This window comes from Homo sapiens, chromosome 7 (assembly GCF_000001405.40).
Source record: "Homo sapiens chromosome 7, GRCh38.p14 Primary Assembly".
Lineage (NCBI taxonomy): Eukaryota > Metazoa > Chordata > Mammalia > Primates > Hominidae > Homo > Homo sapiens.
The window spans coordinates 105,052,674-105,070,979 of NC_000007.14; the positions used below are offsets into that span (position 1 = coordinate 105,052,674).

The window sequence follows — 18,306 nt, forward strand, 5'->3', positions numbered from 1 at the left end:
TCAGCCTCCCAAGTAAATGGGATTACAGCTATGCACCACCACACCCAGCTAATTTTTTTTTTTATTTTTTTATTTTTTTTATTTTTAGTAGAGATGGGGTTTCACTATGTTCGCCAGACTGGTCTCGAACACCCGACCTCAGGTGATCTGCCCACCTTGGCTTCCCAAAGTGCTGAGATTACAGGCATGAGCCACTGCACCCAGCCTGTATTGCTTGAAGATCTAATAGTTAACCCTGAAGTTTATTATATTAAGAAGGATTATTGAATGCCCATATCCTAACTATACTTCAGTTGTTAAGAAGAGATAGAACTACAGCTAAACGTATTTTATAGCCTCTTCATTGTAGAAAGATGTACAAAAATACAGCACCTGACGGTGCTGTATAATTGAATGAAAAGTCCCTCATATATAAATAGTCTTTAAAAATTGGCATGATTTCAGTATATTGAATGCTAAGTTTTTTTAAGTCGCGGTTTTGGTTAATACCTGTTTTGGGAAGCTGGAAATTTTTTTAAAGGCATTAGGAAACTGGCAGAATTAAAATAGTGATGAGAGGGAGATTGAAATTTATTATTAATATCTATGTTATCTAAGTGATTGTTTACTGACCATGATATAATAAATTGAGACATAACGTAGGAAGAGAAGGGATGTAAAATTATTCAGTATAAAGAATTTTAACAAGTACTGGTATTTTTTGAGTGATAGTATTTTTACTATGAAATTTTTTGCATACTGTTTAATTGATGAAGGATTAAAGATCTAGTTTGCAGATCATATAGTTATAAGAATTTACGGACTTAAAATATATAATAATTTTATTCTCTCAACTCTAAAGTCTATATAAAGATTGCTTTTCAGAATTTATAGTAATGTGCTATAGATCAAAGATAGGCACTTGAAGCTGATTCTTGCTGGGCACACAGTGGCTCATGCCTGTAATCCCATCACTTTGAGAGATCAAGGTGAGGGGATCTCTTGAGCCCAGGATTTTTGAAACTAGCCTGGGCAACATAGTGAGACCCCTGCTGTCTACAAAAATTTTTTTAAAAATTAGCCAGGCATAGTGGCTCATGACTGTAATCTACTCAGGAGGCTGACATGGGAGGATCACTCAAGCCCCGGGAGTTTGATGCTATAGTTAGCTATGCTCACACCACTGCACTCCAGCTTGGGTGACAGAGTAACGCCTTCTCTCTTCAAAAAAAAGAAACAGGCGAGGCATGGTGGCACATGCCTGTAATCTCAGCACTTTGCGAGCCAAGGTGGGCAGATCACCTGGGGTCGGGAGCTTGAGACCAGCCTGGCCAACATGGCAATACCTGGTCTCTACTAAAAATAAAAAAACTTACCGGGCATGGTGGCACGTGCCTGTAATCCCGGCTACTACGAGGCTGAGACACGAGAATCACTTGAACCCGGGAGGTGGAGCTTGTAGTGAGCTGAGATACATCACTGCACTCCAGCCTGGGTGACAGAGCAAGACTCTGTCTCAAAAAAAAAGGCTGCGAAATTTTTTTTTTTTTTAAAGAAAGGCTGCAGAGAATTAAGAATTACTTTTGTTGATAGTGTAATTGATAGATTCATCAAAGTCTTTTATTTTCACAGGTCATTGTATCAGATGAACCTAATGATGGTTGATGTACCCTGTGTTCTGTACCTCATAAAAAATGAAGGCAAATCATTAAGACACTTGGCTCTGTAGTTGAAGGAACTCAAGGAAAAAAAAAGGAAAAAATTGGGGAATTATTTGTTGTAAAAGCAAGTTGCTCTGTCTGTCTGTCTATCTATCTATCTATCTATCTATCTATCTATCTATCTATCTATCTATCTATCTATCTGTCTGTCTGTCTATTTGAGATGGAGTTTTGCTCTTGTTGCCCAGGCTGGAGTGCAATGGTGCAGTCAGCTCACTGCAACCTCTGCTTCCTGGGTTCAAGCGATTCTCTTCCCTCAGCCTCCCGAGTAGCTGGGATTATAGGCATGAGCCACCATGCCTGGCTAATTTTGTATTTTTAGTAGAGTCAGGGTTTCACCATGTTGGTCAGGCTTGATCTCGAACTCCTGACCTCAGGTGATCCACCTGCCTTGGCCTCCCAAAGTGCTAGGATTACAGGCGTGAGCTACCACGCCCAGCCCGCAAGTTGCACATTTTAATATCTCTTTGTTAAATAAAAAAGTTACCACTTTGGACTCTGGATGCCATGCAGTCATGAGGATCACTTTGAAACTAGACATAGTGCCAAGTGCTTTTCAGAAAAGTGAAGAATTAGATTGAGCAGAGGAAATTTACCTATTTGTGAGTGAGGATGATGGAAGGAGTCTTGGAGAGGTAGTACTTTTTACCTTCTCTGATCAGTTTCAGGGCTTCTCCTGAGCCTACTGAATCTAGGAGAATTATTTACAGATTACCCAACCTCACATTTGAAGCTCTTAGTTTTATTTTGTCATACTACTACTCCACTTACATCATTAACTTGCTTGGGAGAGAGACAACCCATTAGTGGCTCTGTGTGTGTGGTTTTTGTTTTTCTTTTTAGGTTTTTTTTTTTTTTTTTTTGAGATGGGGTCTCACTATATTGCCCAGGCTGGACTCAAACTCTTGAGCTTAAGTGATTCCTCCTACCTCAGCCTCCCAAAGTGCTGGGATTATAGGCGTGAGCTGTTGTGCCTGGCCCTCTGTATAGTTTTTCAGGATAAGAGATCATATTCATTTCTTAGCTGGATACGCAGGGTTCTTCTTGAACTAGTCCTTGTCTATTCTCATCTCTGGCACATCCTCCACTCCTTTAACTGTTCTGAATTTTAGTAATTCTTTTTCAGTCTGTTCTTCGTAAACTTCAGTGAACATAAAATTGAAGGTGTTTATTAAAATGTAGATTTCTAAGCTCAATCTTTAAACATTCTGGTTCATTACATTTAAGTAGAGCTGTGAAAAGTAACATCTTGCACTACAGGTAATTGTGCTGCTGGTTGTCTGTAGATCATGCTTAGAGAAACGTGCTTAAATGTGTCATGTTGTTGTTATCTCTGACTGCATGTGTGCTTTCTGTCTGGAATACTTTCTCCATCTCTTTGCCTTCTCTATTTCATGGACTTGTTAAATTGCCATTCTTTAAAACTTGCTTAAATGTGACTACTATTATGAAGGCTCCTGTGCATACCTCTGATGGCACTACTGTAATTATTGTTACACTTGTTTGTTTGCCTGTTAGTTTCTTAAGAAGAAGGATCACTTTTTTTTTTTTTTATTTCCAGCATTTGGTACAGTATCTCACTGCCTGGTGCTTACTGTGTGCTCAAATGTTTATTGATTGAAAGAAAACTATATTATTGTAAGTTCCTTGAAGGCAGAGACAGTGTCTTATCTTTGTATCTCTGATGGTTGCTAGTGAACATTAAGCCCTCAATATTTGTTTAATCAGTGCTATCAAAGTGGTTTAAATGGATGTAGTCTCCAGGGGTCTCTGAGCTTTTTGATGTTTTAAAAATTTGCTATTTAATTTGGAGCTAGGAAAAAAAATTAAGTATATTTAGAATCATTCCGGATGACTACCATTTTATACCAAATGTTGCCATGAGATTTCAGTGCAAGTACTTGAATTTGTGTCAGATGTTTATGTTATAAACACACAGAGAGGTACAGTTTATTGTGAAGTTTTTCTAAATCCAAACCTCCAAAGGAAAATCTGGCTCTATCTATTACAAGGGTTTAGACATTACTTGCTTTTGAGAGACTGCTTACATGAATAAACACTATTCCTGAAGTCTGACCTTTACATGCTACTTGAAGATTCCACCTGCCATGTTTTCTTGTCTTTTTGCATATGCATGGGGTATTGTCTTCCTCCAGCATTACTGGGTTTTTCCTATATGTTATTTGTAGTAAATTTCTTTTACTAGGGTGATAGGTTCTGTCTCCTCTAGCAAAATTAGTGATTTATTTAAAACAGGTGTCATTGGGCTTGTACATAGAACCACTCTATTGGAAGTTTGAATTATTGTGAACTAAAGTTATAAAACAATTTTTAAGGAGCTTCAGACAGAGTATTTGTAGTTGTACTTGAGAACAAATTCTGAACAAGTAAGTAGTGTAATGTATCTGTGTAAGGCATTATAGTTGAGAAAATGCATTTTCACATCCTTTATAACATTTGAACTTCATATTGCTGGGAAGAAGGTAAAACAAATATCCTTATTCCCACTTTACATATAAAAAACCTCAAGTTCAAGAGAGGTCAATATGGCATTCTTTCTACTGGAGAAAATGCCTCGTTATAAAAGAGTTTGGAAGAAAAAATAATAGATGCATGACAGAAGATTGTTAGCAGAGCACAAAAATAATTGTGTGAAAAGTAATAACAATACAGTAAATAAGTGCTTCATGAATCCTAAAATTATGGAGTTGAAGCAGTCAAGAAAGGACTCTTAAGAATACTTGAAATAAACCTTGAAAAATGTGTTGAAATTAAGGAGTAAGGGTTAAGAGTTATTCTACAAATAGGGGTTTAGAAATGCCCAGGACATCTTTGTGAGTGGGAGGAAAAGCGATAGACTACTATTCTTGCTGGCACCCAGTGTATAGAGATTCTAAATGTAAGATAAAAATGCTTGGAGAACTTTTTTATTTCCACTTTTTAGTATGGAAATGCAGATATATACATGACAGTATGTAAAACAGAATAGTAATCCCAGTTGGCCGTTACTTAGCTTCAACAGTATTCAAAGTTTTGCCAATCTTGTTTCATCTGTCTTTGAGTTGTTTTTTTTGTTTGTTTTTGTTTTGATACAGAGTCTCACTCTGTCAACCCAGGCTGGAGTACAGTGACATGATCATAGCTCACTGCATCTTCAACTTGCCTGTCTCAGGTGATCCTTTTGCTTCAGCCTCCTGAGTAGCTGAAGCCTAGGACTATAGGTGTGAGCCACCATGCCCAGCTAATTTTTTCATTTTTTGATAGAGGTGGGATCTTGCTGTGTTGCCCCGACTGGTCATGAACTTCTGGCCTCAAGTGATCCTCCCTTTTGGCCCCCAAAAGTGCTGTGATCGTAAGCGTGAGCCACTGCGCCCAGCCTCTTAAGTATTTTAAAACAAATTCCCATTTCTCTCATGTATTATTTCACCCATGTATTATTCAGTATCTATCACTAACAGTTGAGGACTTTTTTGTTCTGCTACAGTACTATTATATAACAAAATTAACATAAAGTATCCAGTTCATCTTCAAATTTTCTCACTCGTCTCAAAAATCTTTTTGTGATGTGTTCAAATTGGGATCCGATCGAAATTCACACATTGCGTTTGCTTGAAATGTCTCTTGAATCTCTCTTCATCTATAACAACCCCCTCTTTTAAAATTTGTTTTCCTTTGTGCTGTAGACCTGGTGAAGAAACTGGAAAATTCAGCCTATAGAAGTTTTAACATTCTGGAGTTGGCTGATTGCCTCCTTCTGGTGTCATGTAATATTCTACTTCCCCCATATTTCTGATAAACTGGTATTTGGATTTAGAGATATAATTAGCTTCGAGTTCTGTTCTTTTCCTTTTCTCTTTTTCTATTTTTCTTTTCAGTATGATATTTTATAGGTGGGACTGTGTGCTTCTTATCACATAGCATTAGGAGAGGCAAATAAAGCTTGGTTGTCTAACTCCTAATGATGATATTAATGATCAACAGATTCAGGTGTTGTCATCTTATCTACCTATCAACCTTCTACCTAAGACTCTTAGCATCCATGGTTATTTGTTGCCCAGATATATAACCTCTTAAGGGTTGCAGTTTAGTTATTTTTCTAATTTATTTATTCCTTCTGCATTTTTTAGCTGTTGGGGAATTTCTAAAAGAAGCAGTCAGCACCTAAGTATTGGCTTATGTATTAACAAGAGAATATACTTACATTTTAGTTTTAGAGCTGAGTTGCATGTTAGAATCCCCTTTTATGCATTTCAGTTGTTCTACTTGTTGGAAACAGAATTCAGAGTTTTGAAAAGGTGACTTCATCTACAAATTATGGTGGTTTTGACCATACCTTATTGCTTATATATTGGGAATAATTTCATTACCTGCTACTAGGTTGGTGCAAAAGTAATTGCAGTTTATTTTTGACCATTTTGAAAATTTTGAACATTTTGAATTCTTGGAGTATGCAATGAATATCTTTTGGGAAATTTCCCATGGATAAAGAGAAAATCTTTTTTGGATTCAGTGATTTTAGAACATATACATACTTCCTGCTGACAGGCTAAAAGAAAAAAAGAACATACAAAGCAGTATATGAATGAGTATAAACCACTATATAAGCTCTTCACTCTCTAACTGAAGAGTAAGATATCAAAATTATGTATGTGAAATCTCATTTTTCTATAGAATGAACACTGCATCATGGATTATGTTTTGATACATAATTATATAAACACTTCTGTAAATAATTATGAAGTATAACACTTAGAAATGTAACACTTCTGTCCTTACATTTGGGAAGAAGGAAAAAGAAATTCATGCTAGTTTTGCTGTTGGACCTCAGACTGCAAAAGTTATGGCTGCTACTCCAAAATATCCAAGTTTTGCCCACACCTTTTAGTAACATGTTTTGCAGAGTTTGATCTAAATTTTTAAGAGTGAATCTTTGTGCTCTGGCCACAGTTCCTGCATGTTGCTTTAATAATAGTACTGTAAATCGTTGCTAAAACTTCACTTCTTCCTTCTGTGTAATTTTTAAAGAATTTAAAAAGTGTCACTGTTGTAATCAAAGGCAGTTTGGTAGTATCAGTTTTATGTACATTTACCCTTTTGTTCAGCAATAGTAGCTACAGGAACTCATGTTATAGAAATACTACCATTTATGCAGAAAAGATAAATGGATGTACATTTGCAGTAGTACTTTTAATAGTGACAAATAGAAATAATGTCAATATTTACCCGTAGGGGAAATTGTTAAATAAATTTATATTCATATAATGAAATAAGCAATTATTACCAAGAATAAAGTATATATGTTGACATTTAAAGATGGAAAAAGTAAATCATGAATACATATATTTTCGGATTTTAAAAAGCAAAAATTGTGTAGATATAATGATGCATAGAAAAGTTTAGAGAAAGATACATGGCAATATTAACATGAGAATGTTTGGGAGTTGGGTGGAGACATAGTCTTACATTTTCTTATTACTGCTATATTTAGATTTTCTACAATCAGCATGTATTAATTTTGAAATTAAGAAACATTTCTTTTAAAATAATGAATAATTCTTAATGTAACAGCATAGACATTAGCTGAATATTGATTTTCTTGTTGTTGTTTTTTTTTTTTTTTTTTTTTTTTTTTTTTTTTGGAGACAGAGTCTTAACTCTGTCGCCCAGGCTGGAGTGCAGTAGCGCAGTCTCGGCTCACTGCAACCTCTGCCACCTGGGTTCAAGTGATTCTCCTGCCTCAGCCCCCAAGTAGCTGGGATTACAGGTGCCTGCCATCACCCCTGCCTACTTATTGTATTTTTAGTAGAGATGGGTTTTCACCATCTTGGCCAGGCTGGTCTTGAACTCCTGACCTTGTGATCCACCCGCCTCTGCCTCCCAAAGTGCTGGGATTACAGGTGAATATTGGTTTTCAAAGTACAGTCATGCACACATAACAACGTTTCAGTCAACACCAGACCACATAATACAATGGTGGTCCCATAAGATTATATTGGAGGTGCCGTCTACACGTGTACCATTTTTTATCTTTTTTATTGTTTTTTTACTGTACATGTTTTTTTCTCTTTTTAGAGACAGAGTCTCATTCTGTTGCCCAGGCTAGAGTGCAGTGACATGATCATAGCTCACTGTAACCTCAAACTTCTAGGCCCAAACAGCTCTCCCACCTCAACCTCCCAAGTAGCTAGGACTACAGACGTGTGCCAACACGCTTGGCTAGTTTTTTTTTTTTATTTTTAATGTCTGTAGAGAAAGTCTTGCTATCTTACCCAAGCTACTCCTGAACTCCAGGCTTCAAGTGACCCTCCTGTCTCAGACTCCCAAAGTGTTGAGATCATAGGCATGAGCCACCACACCCAGCCCTTATTTTCTATGTTTAGATGTGTTTAGATACAGAATACTTAGCATTGTGTTACCTACAATATTCAGTGCATTGTGTTACCTACGATATTCAGCGCATAACATGCTGTATAGATTTGTAGCCTAGGAGCAATAGTTATGCCATTTAGCCTAGGTGTATAGTAGGCTATACCATCTAGGTTTGTGTAAAGTACACTCTATCATGTTCACACAACGGTGAAATCACCTAATGATGTATTTCTCAGAATGTATCTCCAATGTTAAGCAAAGCATGACTATATTCAGAACATAATGGAGACTCTTCACAATCTCCTTTAGAACCATTAGATAACCTCAGTTTGTATCTCCTCTTTTTGCTGATTCTGGCACACAGCGCTTACAACAGCAGCCACTGAGAGCTAAATTGAGACTTCGTGAAGGGATGACAGTATATTAAGAAGCAGTTGACTGTAAAAAATGTTTTTTATGCTGCTAGTCTCATGACTAATCAGAATATAACCACTAAATATCCTTAAACTAAATAATAGTGCAAATAGTACTAAGTTCTAATGTAAAGTTTTAATAGGAGGTAGGATAAAGATTGTCATGAAAAATTTTTCAAGTGATGTTATAGTTTTGTAAAATAAAGGCACAGAAACAAATCATGTTATTGAGTATTTGCAAGGGAGAGATTAATTTTAGTGTGAACTGACCTCAGATGTAGGTTCACAACCTTGTTGATCAATAGGAATTAACCAAGTAGAGCTCAGGAGGATTGGTAAGAGTAAAGAAGTTGGGAAAGTGATGTATGTAAAATGCTAGGCCAGGGAGCTTGTAAGTCAACAACAGTGGGCAAATTGTATCAGTAGTTGATCAGTCTCCATCATCTAAGACCAGAATTGCTCATCTTACAGATAGCTGTTTATGTTTTTTTTCAGGTATAAATCCTGGTTTATTTTGAAACTTCCTATTACTTAAGTTTACTGACATTTCCAAGGCTTTATTATATTAATATCTGGTCACACTCAACACATGCATATATTTTTGAACACTGAAATGCATACTTCAGTTCCATTTGAGGTCCATATAGATTCTGTGTGTTTTAGTCTTGCTTAAATTATTTCTACTACTTCTTTGCACCCCTTTGCTAGTTTTCTCAGTGCCGTAGGGTTTATTAAATAATAATTGGACTCTAGTAATTTTTTTTAATGAGAGAGAGGGAAACTATATTTGAAATTGGATTGGGACATTTATTTTACTTAAACAGAAGTTTGCTTATGACACATAATCTAGATGGGATATATCTTATCTATAGTGTATCCACCTGCTGTAAGTAGATACTGTATTTGTATAGCCATTATTTTGCTGTAAGTACTTTATCATTTTAATTAAATTGATTAAGAGGAAAAAAAAAGAATGGAATTCTCTTTGATGCAACTTTTTCCCCCCAGACCAGAATCCGTAGAAGCTAGCCCTGTGGTAGTTGAGAAATCCAACAGTTATCCCCACCAGTTATATACCAGCAGCTCACATCATTCACACAGTTACATTGGTTTGCCCTATGCGGTAAGTGTTAAACACTTCTTTGAAAAAACATTTTTAAATTTAGAGATTGAAAGTAGATGCATGTGATACTGTGCTTGAAACGGCATGTTTGAAAAGCATGGTTGTTTCATACTATCAAAATAATTAGGCGTTTAATTTTTCATTAACCATTAAGCGATTAAAGTTCTATAAAAGTGAACTGTTTCTCTTATTATTTTGCAATTTATGCTGTTAATAGTTTGATATTATATTTCTTTACTTCCTAAAAGAATGCAGATAAGGTTGTATTGTACTACCTACTATTAATTTTGAATTATATAGTAATTAATTTTGTTTTAATTTTTTGATTTTTAGTTTTTGAATTATATAGTAATTTATATAGTAAATTTTATAGTTACCATTTATTGAGCCCTTGTTATGTGTCAGACATATATTATTTAATCATTAAAAACAACTTCATGAGATGTAGTTTTCATCTTTTATTTCATAGGTGAGAAAATAAAAGCCTATCTAACTTATTAAATATTGCATATCTAGTAAGAGGCAGCATTTAGATTCAAACGTAATTACATAACAACACATTTATGATACTATGGAGGTAGAATTATGAGATACTTACTACTTGGACCAGAATAAAAATTACTAAATTTAAAAAACTATATTATATGTTTTATAGTGATAAATATGTCTTGTTTTATTATTCTTTAGGCTCCATATTTCTGAGATGTGTGTTTTTCTTTTTCTTTTTTTTTTTTTTAACACTTCTATTCTCACATCTTAATACCTTCTTTCATCTTGGAGGTGGAGCTATGTATGTGACCATAGGAACGTGAAGATATGATTTGGTAGGGAGGGAATGAAATTTGGATGTGAATGTGACCACTCCCACTTTGTAGATAGATATATTCACTTACTGCTGTGGTTTAATAACTGGCTTCACCAAGTCATTTTTTTAATGGTATTAAGGAAGGAATGAGCCAGTCTCATATCTCTTGAGTATTGAAATTAAGGGTTGAATTTTATTTAAGTTGCTTGGTTTATATCATTGTTGAAATTAAATAATATTGTGCTATATTTGTGTTTAATTATTCAGGACCATAATTATGGTGCTCGTCCTCCTCCGACACCTCCGGCTTCCCCTCCTCCATCAGTCCTTATTAGCAAAAATGAAGTAGGCATATTTACCACTCCTAATTTTGATGAAACTTCCAGTGCTACTACAATCAGCACATCTGAGGATGGAAGTTATGGTACTGATGTAACCAGGTGCATATGTGGTTTTACACATGATGATGGATACATGATCTGTTGTGACAAATGCAGGTAAAATATTTTACACCATTATTTTATTTTTCTTGAATGCTGATAACCTTTGGTAATGTTGGAAAAGATAACTAAAGTCACTTTCAAGGGAATTAATGGATACATATTTTAAGTGGGACTTCTACTATTGATGCAGTCCTAGAAAAAGCCTCCTATGTGAAAAAAGAGTTTACTAGAAATCCCTGTTGTTAACTGAGTAATAGACAGTCAGTTCTGAACTTTTTTTCATGTAGGATCACATTTTTCTGTTCACTTAGTTCAATAGTAGTACAAGTACATAAACATAGCAGTAGACAAGATAGAAATGAGAGAATTTAGTCTTTTGTATTTCCTTTGGAATAATTTGTGCTTAGTCAACTGTGATTTTCCAGTTTGCGGAAATTAAACATTTTCATTGATGTTTGTTTGACCTGACTCTCTCACCTCCTTTTGACTTGAACCTTGCAGCACTCTGGAGTCTCCTTGAACCAGAACCACAGTCTCCCCTCCCCCAACCCTGGTTCAGCCACCAAGAAAGGCCTCCTCCCCTAGAGAAGGTGTGATTGGGACAGAAAGTGGGGTTTTGTATCATTTTTTTTTCTTGGTTTTTTTTTTTTTTTTTTTTTTTTTTTTGACTGGGGGGAAGGATTTGGGGAGGATGAAGAGGGAACAGTAGGATTTCAGCCTGAAAGTTACTGAGTTTATCCCCTGCATAGGGTGGGAAGCGCAGAGTACTTACGCAGTGCATTGTAGAGAGCAAGAAAGTTGGGGAGCTTTACAGAATTTCCTGGGTCTGGTCATTATGGTGTTGCTTAATTATTTGATGTGATGCAGTATGGCATATACCCATATTTGAATGTAAGTATAAAAATGGACCCTAAAGCCAAGTATTACTTTGAATTACTTGTAATATTATCCCCATCTATTAGATTAGGTGATTAGGAGTTGAATATTATTGATACAAACATGCAGTTAGCATTATGTTTCAAAAAGTTTGTTTACTCTTGCCAAAAAATGAGAAATTCAAATATTAAGTGGAATGTAAAATTTGATATTTTTATGGAAAGTTGTAATATTAACACTGAGTTTATCTTAATAATAAAAACATATTGTAGTACCTTTCCAAATGTAAAAATAAACTTTCATAACCTGTAATACATTCTACCATGAATAATGACTTCAGTAAATTTATTTAGGAGGTAAATTAAAAAACTAAAAATACAGTGACACTTTGCTTTCCTCATAGTAGAAAATGTCAAATCATATTGTAGCCAGTCATATAGAAAAGCTTTCTCTTGGCTGATTTTGTCTAATGTGATAAATTACATACTTTGGTATGTAATTTTTATTTTAATACATAATCTTAGCAGTGTTCTTCTTTTGATATAACGGCGATGGTCTATATATAAGATACAGTTATCTCTATTAGAGAATAGTAAAATTGTCCTTAGGAGTTTTTATATCCATCTACAAATTATTGAAGGACCAGTTCACAGTTTTTGGATTATTCAAGTTATTTGCTTCTCAGAGAGTACTTTTTGTTATGACTCTAATATTTGTTACTCTGTTTTTCTGTTGCTCAGCCTGTAGTCTCCTGGAAGGCTCTATTCTAACTTTACGTTGGCTCATTATTTTTACATGTTCCTACTACTTATACTCATCTCTTTGAAGTCTGACATCCACAGCTCTGATTATTTATTCATATTCTAGCTTTGTTTCTTCTGTTGTCTGCATGACATCATTACTTGCCCCACAAATTTAGTTTAATTTGTTATTCTAACCCTTGTCATTTGTGCTACTTTTCTTTTTCACATCTTTTTTCCACTTTGATATATATTTCACATTCTGTCAGTTCTTGCCCCAACATTCTCAGTTGAAAAGTAAAGAACAACACAGTAGCAGTTAGTTTGGTACAGTAGTCCCTCCTTTCCCTGGGGTATATGTTCCAAGACGCCCAGTAGATGCCTGAAACTGCAGAGAGTACTGAACCCTACAGTACTTTGTTTTTTCCTATACATAAATACCTATGATAAAGTTTAATTTATAAAGTAGATGCAGTAAGAGCTTAACAACAATTGTAACAGCATACTGTAATAGAAGTAAATGTGGTCTTTGTCTCCTCTCTCTTTCCTTCTGCCCCCCTCTCTCCCTCTTCCTGAAAATATCTTAATATTTTCAGACTGTGGTTGAACACAGGTAAATGAAACCACGAAAAGCAAACCATGGATAAGGGGGAAGCTACTGTAGTTATATATTAGAAGTAGTTTATTCTTATGTAAGGAATAACTAAGACTTTTTGGAGTCAGGCATATATATCAACTTCAGACAAATTAGTCTTGGCAATAAAATACAATAGTAACAAATTGAGAAATTTGCCTCAAACTGGTCCATGTATTCTATTAAAAGTAATTAGGTTTAATCTCTGTCCTCATAGAATGCCTCTTACATTCTTTAACTTATTTTTCTCTGGCGTTAATTCTGGTTCTGCCCTCCTTTAACTCAAGTGTGGAATGTTGGAAATGCCTCTTTAGTTGGTCTTTCTGCTTGCAGTTTCTTCTTTGAATTAATACTACATGCCACCAAAGCACCTGTAAAAAATTGTTACCTGTTGACAGAGGAAATTTACACATGTCTGCACATTCCAAGTCCTAAGTAATCTGACTGTACTTCATTAATCCAATTTTAACCTCCTTCTATTTCTCAAAATGAATATTTCTCTTCATATATGTTGAGCGCCTTGTGGCCACTTTCTCTTCATATCTGATAAATGATATTTGATAAATGTTGCTACACTGATAGCTTACTATTTCCCAAACGAGGTTCGAGTCAAGTTCATTATTCTCCAAGGTGCTTTTCTCATTAATTACAAATAGTGTGGCCGTCTCTACATTGTGATTTCTAATAATATTTGTAGAATAAATTATACATTTTATATTTTAAAATTGTATCTGCTTTAAAAATTTATGTATCCTATATTTATCCTCTTGCTTTTGCATCTCAAAATTTTATCGCCTTGAAGACACGTTTCTATGAATTTCTCAGAGTACCTTTTAGGAGTACTAAGCTCAAAGTAGGTGCTTATTAAATGATAGTTAAATGGAATATCAAATCTTAATTTAAGGATGACTTAAATAATATTACATATGTTCTGCTTTTTTTTTTTTAAGCGTTTGGCAACATATTGACTGCATGGGGATTGATAGGCAGCATATTCCTGATACATATCTATGTGAACGTTGTCAGCCTAGGTAAGTTGCACATATCTGATAACATTGCCAGTAATTTTACTGAGGTAATACTAGTTAACAGAAATTCCTTTATGAATTCGAGTTAAAAAATTAATGAATCACAGCCGGGCATGGTGGCTCATGCCTGTAGTGCCAACTACTTGGGAGGCTGAGGCAGGAAGATTGCTTGAGCACAGGAGTTTGAGGCTGCAGTGAGCTTTGATTGTGCCACTGCACTCCAGCCTGGGTGACAGAGCAAAACCCAGTCTCTTTTTTTTTTAAAAAAAAAAAAAAAAAAGAAAAAGAAAAAAGGAGAATTAATGGATCACTGTGTTTCATCGATTCTAACATACGCTTTTCCATTTTTATGTGTATTCTTACTATTATTTTTGTATTCTGACAACTCTAAAATCAGGAAAATATCTATCAATAGTGTGTCATAGTTTATAGGGTTTTTACTTTATTAATGATGCATAAAATAATAGTGCATCTTCTACCTGATGGCATCTTTTTTAACTGGAATGCGCTATATTAAAGAGTTACTAGATGAATACTCCCTTAGTTAAAGAATTTAGTAGATCTATCATTCTTCTTGTTTGTAATTTTTTTTTCCACATTTCTTTTTTGTTTTTTAAAATCTTTTTATTATGGACATTTCAAACTTACGTAAAAATAAAATAATACATAATAAACTCACATTTCCACCACCCTACCTCAGTAATTATCGACATTCTTGTCCCATCTATACTGCCATGTGTTTCTTCTCCCTTTACATGTTGTTTTAAGGCAAATCCCAGATATCGTATTATTTCATCCATGTATATTTCAGTATATATGTATTTGTGTGTATATATATTTCAGAATATGTCTGTCAATTCTTTTTACAAAAATAATTACAAACCGTCTGGGCAAGGTGGCTCAGGCCTGTAATCCCAGCACTTTGGGAGGCCGAGGTAGGTAGATCATGAGAGCCCAGGAGTTCGAGACCAGCTTGGGAAACATGGTGAAACCCTGTCTCTCCTAAAAATACAGAAGATGAGCCAGGCGTGGTGTCACACATCTGTAGTCCTAGCTGCTTGGGAGGCTGAGGTGGGAGGATAGCCTGAGCCTGTGAGTTCGAGGCTGCAGTGAGGCATGGTCATGCCACTGTGCCCCAGCTTAGATGACAGAGTGAGAGCCTGTTTCAAAAAAACAAAAAACCGCAAAGCCATTATTGTACATGGAACAAAATCTCTGGCTCACCCAGCCATTGTTATGATATTGATTGGTTGATATTCATCTCTCAAGTTCCTAAACCTACTCCTCCCTCCCTACCATCCCTGGTTACCATTACAGTGTGCATGTTTAGGGAACTCAGCTGTTTGTCCTGATGAGTTTTGCCAGTTGTATTCCCATGATTTCACAAGTTTCCCTGTTCTATTTCTGTAAGAAGGTGTTTATGTCTATAGGCTTGATCAGATTTAGGTTCAATTTCTTTTTTTTTTTAATAAGACTATTTTCATAGTTAGACTGTTTTGTCTTATCAGGTGGCACATGATTTCTGGTTGTCTTATGATGGAAGCCAGTGATAGTCCTTAGATCCACTAATTTATTAGGGGTTGCAAATTAGTGATATGTTAATTCTGTTGTTCATTACTTATCAGCTGGAATATTTTTATTGGAACAAACTTCTCTTTTTTTTTTTTAAGACAGGATCTCACATTGTCGAACAGGCTACGTGTGACCACAGCTCACTGCAGCCTCAGCCTCCTGGGTTCAGGTGATTCTCCCATCCTTCCACCTCAGCTTGCCAAGTAGCTGGGACTACAGGCATCGCCACCATGCCTGACTAGTTGTGGTTTTTTTTTTTTTTGTTTTTTTTTTTTTTTTGTAGGCACAGGGTTTCACCATGTTGTCCAGGCTGGTCTAGAACTCTTGGGCTCAAGCAATCTTCCCACCTCGGCCTCCCAAAGTGTTGGGATTACAGGCGAGAGCCACCTTGCCCGGCCATGTCTCTATGTTAACTATTCGGTTCTCTTAAGATATATTTCATTGAGGAAAGGCTGGATAAATGCTTGTTGAATCTTAGCCTTTATTTACTGGTTTTCAGAATAATGAAAAATTAAGTATCATTGTGACCTCATGGATTTAAACCATAGTGGATGTCAGTCTCTTGCAGTTATTACCCTTATTGATGCTTAAATTTCATTCCATTTCTGGTCAGTAGGAACCTCTTCAAGCTGGTTATCAAGTCCTTTAAACAACACCCTAGTGGTACTTCATGGCAAAGAAGATATCTGGTGTGACAAGATGTCTCAGGCTTATCCTGCACTTCTGTGCCCCAAATTCAGAGTTGGCTTTCAAGACCAGAATTGGAGAGCTAGTCATGCCCTTTCCTACTAGATTGGTCACTGTTCCTAGTCTTTTTAGTAGACAAAGCTAGGAAGTATGTTTCATCTGTTTCTTTAAGATAAAATACATGAGTTTATACCGATAATTGCAATTGAAATTTAGGAATACAAGTTTTTATGTAGCTGTTTCATGTTTATCTCCTTTTATTCTAGTTGTCAACAATACAGAGAATAATGTAATTAGAATATCTCACAATTGGTTAACTGTTTAATCCTACACAAGAATATAATAGTCTTGGAGTAACAACACCAGCAACACTAGCACCAACAATATGATTGTGTAAAACAGTTTAGAACTTTCCCCCCATAGGGCATAGTGTACGAGGGTTTTATGGTCAATATTGTGTTTTAAGTCTCTTGAAATAATTGTGTGTTTATAACACCAACTGGATACACACTTATGTTGTTTAGGTCATTAATTTTATTGATTTTTAAAAAATTAAATGTTCTGAGTTGTAGATTCACATGCAGTTGTGAAATAATGTAGAGTGAGCCTAGATATCTTTTACCTGTTTTGCCCCAGTGTTAACATCTTGCATAACTATTAATACAATATCACAACTAGGATATTGGCATTAACACAGTCACTCTATAGAACATTCCTGTCACTGCCAGGAGTCATGCTACCCTTTATAGTCATACCCACCTTCTACCCCTGAACTTGGCCAACTGTTATTCTGTAATCGATTTCTATAATTTTGTCATTTCAAGAATGTTCCATAAATGAAGTCATACATTTATGACTTCATTTGACCCAGTATGTGACCTTTTGGCATTGACTTTTTTATCCAGCGTGATTCCCTAGAGAGCCCTCCAATTTGTTGGATGTATCATGATTTTGTTTCTTATTGCTGATAGTATTTCATGGTATATATGTACCATAGTTTCTTTAACCTATTCACCCATTGAAGACCATTTGGGTTGTTTCTACTTTTTTGGCTATTACAAATAAAGTTTCTGTGAACATTTGTTTACAGGTTTTTGTGTGAACCTAAGTTGTTTTTCCCCCTCTCTGGGTTAAATGCCCAAGAGAACAGCAGCTTGATTATATGGTAGTTGCATGTTTAGATATTTATGATATTGTCAGACTATTTTCCGGAATGGCTATTCGATTTTATATTCCTACCAGAAATGTAGAAGTAATCAGTAATTTTTGTTTTTTAAGAATTGTTGGTTGGGCGCAGTGGCTCACAGCTATAATCCTAGCACTTTTGGAGGCTGAGGCGGGTGGATCACTTGAGGTCAGGAGTTTGAGACCAGCCTAGGCAACATGGCAAGGCACCATTGCTACCAAAAAAAATACAAAAATTAGCCGGGCATGGTGGCAGGTGCTTGTAATCCCAGCTACTCAGGAGGCTGAGGCATGAGAATTGCTTGAACCTGGGAGGCAGAGGTTGCAGTGAGCTGAGATCACACAGCTGCACTCCGCCTGTGTGAGAGAGCGGGACTGTGTCTCAAAAAAAAAAAAAAAAAAAAAAAAGCAAAGATTAGCTGGATAAGATGGTATGTGTCTGTGGTCCCAGCTCTTTGGGGGGCTGAGGCAGGAGGATTGCTTGAGCCCGGGAGGTTGAGGCTGCAGTGAGTTATGATTGTGCCACTGCACTCCAGCCTGGGCAACAGAGGGAGACCCTGTCTCAAAAACAGAATTGTTTTTTGTATTTTATTTACCTTTATAATTATATACTTTATAATTATGTAAGAAGTATTCTATCATTCTAAACTCAAATATAAAGCAAGTTAGACTTGAAGTCAAATATATAAAGGAAAGTATTCTGTCACTCTAAAGTCAAATATGTAAAGCAA

General features: G+C 35.7%; 1 protein-coding gene across 7 annotated transcripts in view; it reads left to right on the top strand.

Annotated features, from left to right (window-relative positions):
* The window catches only part of KMT2E (lysine methyltransferase 2E (inactive)), a 100,815-nt gene that overhangs the window by 38,469 nt on the left and 44,040 nt on the right, over positions 1-18,306 (top strand). For 6 of the 7 annotated variants that reach the window (XM_011516400.3, NM_182931.3, XM_005250493.2 and 3 more), the window contains 3 exons: positions 9,491-9,605; positions 10,678-10,907; positions 14,054-14,134. In XM_011516400.3, coding sequence (XP_011514702.1) covers positions 9,491-9,605; positions 10,678-10,907; positions 14,054-14,134 — 426 coding nt within the window. The other variant, XM_047420612.1, reaches the window with a different exon arrangement.